The sequence below is a fragment of the Homo sapiens genome, chromosome 15 (assembly GCF_000001405.40).
Source record: "Homo sapiens chromosome 15, GRCh38.p14 Primary Assembly".
Lineage (NCBI taxonomy): Eukaryota > Metazoa > Chordata > Mammalia > Primates > Hominidae > Homo > Homo sapiens.
Window position 1 is genome coordinate 75758542 of NC_000015.10, and position 7961 is coordinate 75766502.

Consider the following 7961-nt stretch of genomic DNA (forward strand, 5'->3'; position numbering starts at 1 on the left):
GTGATCGTCGAATCTGTTGACCTGGCGCCACCGGAAAAAGAAATTCCCGGGCCCTGGCTTCTTGGCCTGATGGTGAGGCACCAGAGGTGAAGCGAGGCATGGGCTGCTGGAGCGGGAATGAGGGGGCGACAGTGGCTCCGGAAACGGGGGGAGGGTGTCTTCACTGGCCTCTCCGCAAACACAGTGTGTGCGGGTGTGAGGGCTGCAGGTCTGGTAGAGAAGAGTCCACCGCCATCCCGCTCCTGAGACGGGGGCAGGAGTGGGGGGCAGGAGTGGGGGGGCGGGTAAGACAGAGCAGGCCGGCCGGCTTGTGGAGGGCGAGGCAGGCAGATCCCTTGAGCTCAGGAGTTTGAGACCAGACTGGGCAACATGGCAAAACCCCATCTCTACTAAAAATACAAAAAATTAGCTGGGCATGGTGGCACATGCCTGTAGTCCCAGGTAGTTAGGAGGCTAGGGTGGGAGCACTGCTTGAGCCCAGGAAGTAGAGGCTGCAGTGAGCCGAGATCATGATGTCACTGCACTCCAGCCTGGGCAACAGAGTGGGACCCTGTCTCAAAAAATAAAAATAAAGTGGAAGCATCAGTATGCATGATTGAAGTCATGCTTTCCATCTATTTTTTTCCACCTTCCCTTTTTTCTGTCTAAAACATTGTATCTTAAGCTTTTGCCTATGTTATCAAGTACTCATAAGCATTATTTGAATGGTTGTATCATAATCCATTATCTGGACTCATTGTCATTTATCCATCTGCAGTTGCTGGAGATACTGCCCTTTCTGCCACACTCAGTCACCCTTCTGACCTTGCACTGTGTCCAGTTATCTACTAATACCCATACTGGTCATTTAGGACTTAAGAATAGTTATCATAGTTTTTAACATTCCAAAAAGAATGTGTCTTCCTAAAAATAGAATGGCTTGGTGGTTATACTTTTAAAGCAAAATAGACAAAGCCATGTTGAAATTAATGTTTTATTTTCTTCTTGTATCTATTTTCACTTCTCTTGTCATTTTGATGGATAAAGTTTCATTTGGAAGGATTTTTATTTCAAAACAGAAATAGCATATGACATGAGAAGGGGAACTCTGAAAGGTTCAACTTCCTAGTTTACTAAGTTTGTCACAAAAGCTACTGATAGTCAATCATGATTGGCCTGTATTGAAAGTGAGTTAACATTATGTACAACTTAAGCACTATACTTTCTATCCGATACAGAAAAATAGGTGGTGTGTTTGGAAAAGTATTGGGCTAGGAGTCAGGAAGCTTGATTGTTAGTCTCAACCCTGCTTCTTGAGCTGAGCACCCCTAGGCAATAATTCAGCAGCTATTTCTTAAATACCTAAATGAATTTCAGGCTTTGTGGTTGGGCTGGGAATATAGACATAGATACTGCATTCATGATTCTCCAAGCCTCCCTTCTTCACCCCGGCTCACAGTGAGCTTTCTTATGCATTGTGTAAATTTGTCTCCTAACAGGCCCCAACTCTGTCTCCAACCTCCTTCCCAGGGCAGTTGTGAGGATCAGATGAGGGAGAATATGTGTGAAAGCAAATTGTAAATTATTTTAAAATGCAATAAAAATATGATCCATGGAAAATTATTTAAAGATCCTTATTAAAATTATTAAAGATCCTTAGAATTTTAAATAAACAGTACATTAGGCCGGGCATTGTGGCTTAGGAGAGCGCTGGGTCAAATCAGTCCCCTCCAGCTACGCATTGCCTGGAGCTGCTCTCCAAGGACCCCTCAGCCACAGAAGGCGCTGGTCCTCCTACAGTGCTGCCCCACCCCCACCACCACAGCCTCCTGGGGGTGCAGTCAGGGGTGCCCTCCTTCAGGCTCTGCCCCTGCACCCACTCCTACACAACTACTCTCCCTGCCGGCAGCCCCAGAGACCAGATTGGTTTGGGCCTCTGCCTCCGCAGGCCCGAACCACCATCTCTTCTGCTCCCCAGAAAGCCAGCTCCCAGCACACAGGCAGCGTTCCCTCTTCATTCCTCAACACAGAGGGCCCCTCACAACCCTCTCAGCAGATGGTAGAGCTCCCCACGCATCCTCTTAAAGAGGCTTCACCGTTGATGGCCACAAGCCCCACCATGACCTCCTCCCAGGGAGTGAATTTTCTTACATGTCTCCCACCAGAGCAGGGACAAAATAAAACATAAAAGCAGCAGCTGTTAAATTATCAGCAACATTTCCTACTAGGATCAACTCACGGAGTGGGCAGTGTATTCCATTAGGTGGATCAGTGCAGGGGTTAGCAAGCGTTTTCTGTAAAGGGCCGGATGGGAACTCTTTAAGGCTCTGCAGGCCACTGGGTCTCTGTCACCACCTACTCAAACCCTCCCCTGTAGCAAGAAAGCAGCCCTAGCAACATGTCAACAGATAAGCGTGGCCACATTCCCAGAAACCTTTCTTTATGGACATGGAAGTTTGCATCTCACGTAATTCTCATGTGTCACAAGATACGACTCTACTTTCCATGTTTTCAACCATTTAAACATGTAAAAGCCATTCTTAGCGCGTGGGCCACACAAAAGCAGGCAGCAAGAAATTTGGCCTTTACACCAACAGCAGCTGACCCCTGGATGGAGCATTAGAGCTTGGGTGTGTGTCCCACTCCAGGGCTTCCAGGAGAGGGGATGCAGGCCGATGCCACCTCCACCCCTGTCGCTCTAGGGGAGAAGGCAGAGCTGGTGCTGTATGAAGTTTGGCTGCAGATCCTGGGCCAGCCCTACACCAAGGCCTTGGAGGACAAAACCAGCCTTGAGTTCTGGGCACTTCAGGGGCAACCGACAAGATGGGTGAAGTGGCGGGATGAAGTGGGGGGGCGGGGAAGAAGCCTCGGGAAGATGGGGGATGACTGGACAAGACTTTGGTAGAGCTGTGACCCTCTTCATCCTCTCCTGACCCCCCAGCTGACCCTCGTCCTCAGATCTCTGCAGAACTTTGACCAGTGGTGGTGGAGGAATTCCGGTGGGTCCAGGGTGGCCCTGGGTGACCCAGGGCTCAGACCTGGGTTCTGGGGTTGAAGGCAGGAGGCTGGAAGAGATGACCTCCCTTAGGCCCCCCAGGCTGCCCAGCCCCCTGAAGTGGGATGATCCTCCCACCAGGCTGGACCCACTGACCGTCAGAGTGGGTGCCACCTTCTTCAGGGCGGCATCAGCCCAGGCTCTCGTGTGGGTCTGCACACCCTGGGGGAGGCAGAGGGCCTCTTGGTAGACACGGTCATCTCAGACCTCGGTCAGTACCTCCTTCCCTCTGCAGGCCCCCTCCCTCTGTCCATCTGCCTCCTCCCTTGGGCTTGCTGCCTCTACATGCCCTGATCTGAAACCTGCCTCCCCTCCTCATGGAGCCCTCCAAGATGCTCCTAGCCCCAGCTCTCTGGTCCCGCAGCAACTTCTGGTGCCAGATTCTGCCTTCTCAGAAGTCTGGGAGGCAGGGCCCCACCTGGCCATAGCCTTCTTGGTCTGCTCTAGGCACTGCTAGCCTTGAAGCCTCCAGCCTGCTGGATGCCTCCATCCCCGGCTATGCTGTGGCTCTCCTCATTCTAGGCCTCCTGCTCGTCACATTCACCCTTGTCCTGGTGAGTGTCTGGCTGGGCCCAGGCTCCTTCCTGAGGGGCAGGCTGAGCCTTTGATGCCTTGAGCCTTGAGCCAAGCTGAGGAGTGAGCAGGCCCCTTTACACCCCTGATTCCCCCACCCAAGCCCAGCATCTCCTCATCCTCCAGCTGGGGCTGCAGGGTTTGGGGCCAGGGGGCTGGGCCTGATCCCAGTGTCCCCACCCTTCTTGTCAAGGTGCTAAAGTGGAGGGCCTCCCATGGGGTGTTCAGCCTGGGTGTGTAGAAGCACACAGTGTGGTACAGAGGACCCTCTCCAGACAGGTAAGTGGAGGGCGGTTCTCCCTGACCCCACCCCAATTGTTTGTTCTGGGTGGGGTCCACCGCGCCCCCTGCCAAGGCCTTCTGCAAACACTCCCCAGGGGCTGTTGTGGGCAGCACCTGGGTGGTGCAGTTGGTGTGCCAGAAAAGCTCCCCAGTACTGGGCAGTGGCCCAGGCAGTCAAGCAGACTCCCTCAAGCAGGCCCCACCTACCCCTCGCCTGTTCCCAGCTGCCTCCCACCAACCCTAGAAATGATGCTGGGAGCTGACAGAAACTGAACTTAGGAGCACAGGAGGCCAGGAGACCTGGGACAGAGAACAGGAGGTATGGGGAGGGAATCTTCCTTCCCCCACTTCCCACTGCATGAGGGCCAGACAGTGGCACCTCCAGGTCCTGGAAGGACATGTGTGGACCCAACTCAGTTGGCCCTTTGTCTTATGGCCTTTCTTCTCCCTCCCCCGGGGCCAGGTGGATGTGGGAGGAGACGAACCACCATCCTGGGTGCACTCAGACTCATTCCCCACTCCTGGCCTTCACTCCCTTTCCTCTACACACAGGTGACCCCTCATGCTGCTGCTCCCTCTGCTGAAACCCAAACTGCAAACCTCTCCTCTCCCTGCCTTCACCTTGCCCCACGGCTTCCACAGACAGTGCCTCAACCCCGAGGAATGAATCCGAAGTTCCAACACCACTGACTTTCCCAGGAACTCAGAGCCAGAGAGGGCCAAGGACCAGCTCGAGGACACACAGCCAGGGCTTCTTCCCTCCGAAACCCCCAAGGACTGGACTTGCAGGGCTGGGACAGAGGTGGGGTGGGGGAAAGCAATGCCTTGTCAACCCACGTGGGGAGCCCCACTCCCATCCCCAAGGTGCATAAAGTTGAGGAACACCCCTGCTCCCACGTCCATGCTCATTCAGGGCCCTGCTCCAAGTGCTTGGCACTCACACCAGCCTCCTGCCCTCCACAGGTATTGGTCTCGTTTACAGATGGGGAAATGGTGGCCAAGAGCCTCCCCCAGCACATATAGCTAGACCACACAGAGGACTTAGGCACAGCTGGGGGGTCCGCAGTCTCTGCTGCCTCACCTGCCACCAAAGTGTGGTCCTGCTGCCAGGTGGCAGGAAGGGGACAGAAGCCCGCCCCAAAGAGGGCTGGGGCAGGGGCACCCTTACGCCTGCCTGGTCTGGCCCAGTAGGGCTGGAGAGACTGTCAGTCCTAAGAGAAACACTGGCCTTTTGGGAGTATGGAAAAGTCAGGAAGCAATCCAAAGTTGGTATTTAAAATATTGATTTCTAGATATTTAGATGGTCATCTGGTGTGAGGAGCTGGGAGGGCCCCAGGGTAGAGTCCACAAGAGGAGGAAGATTGAAAAGGGGTCAGAGTGGAAATGGGAGCTGCTGAGGGCAAGGCCCAACCCCCTCCTTGACCCCCCAAAGCCAGCCACAGAGCCAGTCAGCCTCAGGCCAGAGGGTGTGAGCAACGGGGACCCTGGCTGCTCTACAGTGGATCAGAGCCACTGGGTGTGGGGAGTCTTCCAGGGCAGGTGTGGGGCCGCCGGGGCAAGGCAAGCTCCCAGGGCAGAGACTGAGGCCACCCCCTGCAGCCCCACTGCAGGGGGGAACACCGGGATAGGCAAGGGTCTTAACCCAGAAAGCCCCAGCAGCTCCCGGGCCCATCAGGACACCATTGAGGCTTGGCGGTGGTGGAACCCAGGAATGGTCTTTGAACCCATGACCTGGAAGGGGGAGCCAAGGATAGTCCTGGCCTGAAGGCTCCTCTACCTGCAGGCAGTGTGGAGGCCCAGCGAGGGGACCCCAGGAACCCAGACCATGAGCTTACGTGGCCAAAGACAGCAGCCAGCACCAAGACATCAAAGAGGGCGGGTAGAAAGATCATCACATAGGGGTTGACTGCAGCCGGCACCAGGTTCCTCTGTACTTCTGGAACACACAGGCCTCTCCTTCCTATCCCTGAAGCGCCCATGCCCCCACCCCGGCACCCCGAAAACCAGCCTAACATATGCATTTGTCCTGGGTCAGCCCCACTGTCCAAGCAACTGCAATTTCTGACTAGAGAGCCAGGGCAGGGCAGGGTGTAGGAGGGGTCCCTGGAAGATGCCCCCAGAATGCCCTGATGCCTAAAACATTCCCCGTTGGGCCTTCTCAGGGAGGGAGGGTTAAGACAGCCTTGTTCTCTCCAGCTACCTCCATCACCACTGGAGCCCTTACAGGCGTCAGGGGAGAGAATTGGCTCAATGGAGCCAGGAACAGCATGGACACAGCCCTGGGGCTGAGGCTAAGTGGGCTCTGGGAGACCGTCACTCTCTCTTCAAGCTTTGGTCTCCTGGCCCTCTACAAGCCAGGCTGTTTCAGGCTTTGCGTTAGGCCTTGCACAGAGACAGAGTTGAAACACAGCTGGTGGACACAGTGGGCTTTAGGGAGGGGGCACGTACCTGGGGGTGGGGGCTGGGTAACAGGGAACGGAGGCCCTGGGGCTAGCATGGCCTGTCTGGAGGTGGCACAATGGGACCTGCACCACCTGAGGACAGAGGGTCCACCTGGAAGACTGGACCAGCCAGATGGCCACCAAGCTGGATGGCCACCGTCAGAGCCTGCAGGACAGCAGAGGGGGCTGGGAAGGGACAGAGGACAGCTGAGGGGCAGGGAATGTGGGTTCCTCCATACAGACACATGAGTCTTCCCTAAGTGGGTCTTCCCCATGGGGGTGAGGGGGCATTCAAGACACACCTCCAGCCCACCTCAAACCATCTCAGGAGGCCACCACCAACTCACACAGGCCAGTTGCATTGTCACAGTGACCCCAGAACAGCACAGCCCTGTCCTTCAGATGAATAAACAGAGGGAGAGACGCATGTCACAGCCAGGAGCTGGGACTCAGACCCAGGTCCAGCTGCAGTGCTTTCTCGATGGCTCTGCCTGCACCTCCTCCAGGACTTAGTTCCTGCTAACAAGTGAGCACTTGAGTACAAGTGAAATAGGTGCTATTATCCCTGTCCAGCTGTCTGGCTGCTGGGGAAAGGGAAGCAAGGCACAGGTGACTTGCCCAAGGCCAAAGTGACAGGGCTGGTTCAACCCCATCTGTCTCAGCCAGCACATCCCCATGGCAGAGGCTTTACTGTGATCCAAACCTGGAAGGTGGAACTCCTTCCAATGTCCCACCCAGGGCACAGAGTATGCAGCCCCATGTTTGGGGAAGTGACCGGGTGGGGAGGTGACAGTGTGGGAAACAATCCAGCTAGGCCAAGGCCTCATGGAGCCCAGGGTTCCCTAGGACCAGGAGAGCTCTGGAGCCCACCCCGACACCCATTGGAAACCTGGAATCCGCACCTGCAGGAGATCAGGAGAGGGGTTTGGCCTCCGATGCACCTGCAGCAAGGTGAGACAGGCACAGGTGGGCGCCCTGCTTCCAACCAGCGTCAGGAGAGCAGGAAGCAGATCTCCTGCCTGACCTTCCTCTCCTGCCTCCCCCAAGCAGAGGAGAAGGGGCAGCCGCCCATCAGGCCATTGCCCAGATTGAAGCCACTGAAGCTAGGTCCCAACAGGTGAGTGTGACCCCTGACTATCCCAGGCCCGGCCCAATGCAGTCCTGTCTCTGGTGAGGACCTGGTAGACAGGAGATGTGACATCCCCAAGTGGCTCTATAAACCTCTTATTGAGGATAATCAAGGAAATGGGCAAGACCATCACGCTCAGCAAAGAACCTGGCAGGCACGAGGGGGACCAGGGGCAGGCAAAAGTCAGTTTGGGCCCAGGCCTGGCCCCTGGAAGGATGGTGGATGAGGGGCCAGCCACGGTGAAGGGGAATGGATGGCCACGGGCTGGGTGGTCAGGACTGTCAGCTCCTGCAGCCCCTGCGGAATGTCTGCCCAGGCCTGGCTCTGCGCTCAGCCTTCTGCCTGGAGCCACAGGTGCCTGGACACCAGCCTCAAGTAGGGATGGTGGTAGGAAAGGCACTTGTGGCCACACGTGGGCACCTAAGCATGGGACAGAGGGGTATTATGCCCCAAAGAGACTATAGAGGCCAAGAACTTAAGCAGGTCTGACACCATCAATAAA

General features: G+C 55.7%; 1 long non-coding RNA gene and 1 other non-coding gene across 8 annotated transcripts, besides 1 other annotated feature; one reads left to right on the forward strand and one right to left on the reverse strand.

Moving 5' to 3' along the window:
* On the forward strand, positions 1–4780 carry LOC101929408 (uncharacterized). 7 transcript variants are annotated; one of them, XR_932484.3, is made up of 5 exons: positions 1–86; positions 3482–3588; positions 3801–3886; positions 4114–4208; positions 4442–4780. It is a non-coding gene; the product is annotated as an uncharacterized LOC101929408 (long non-coding RNA). The 7 variants fall into 7 exon arrangements; XR_932486.3 differs by having other exon boundaries at positions 4134–4208; XR_002957748.2 differs by having other exon boundaries at positions 1–72.
* On the reverse strand, positions 3674–3774 carry MIR4313 (microRNA 4313). Its single transcript, NR_036198.1, has one exon. It is a non-coding gene; the product is annotated as a microRNA 4313 (primary transcript).
* Positions 7239–7738: an enhancer, noted in NCBI's record as "H3K27ac hESC enhancer chr15:76058121-76058620 (GRCh37/hg19 assembly coordinates)". NCBI's record gives its function as "activates a minimal SCP1, AML or CMV promoter by ChIP-STARR-seq in naive H9 embryonic stem cells {active_cell/tissue: H9 hESC(naive)}" and the evidence as "EXISTENCE:reporter gene assay evidence [ECO:0000049][PMID:30033119]".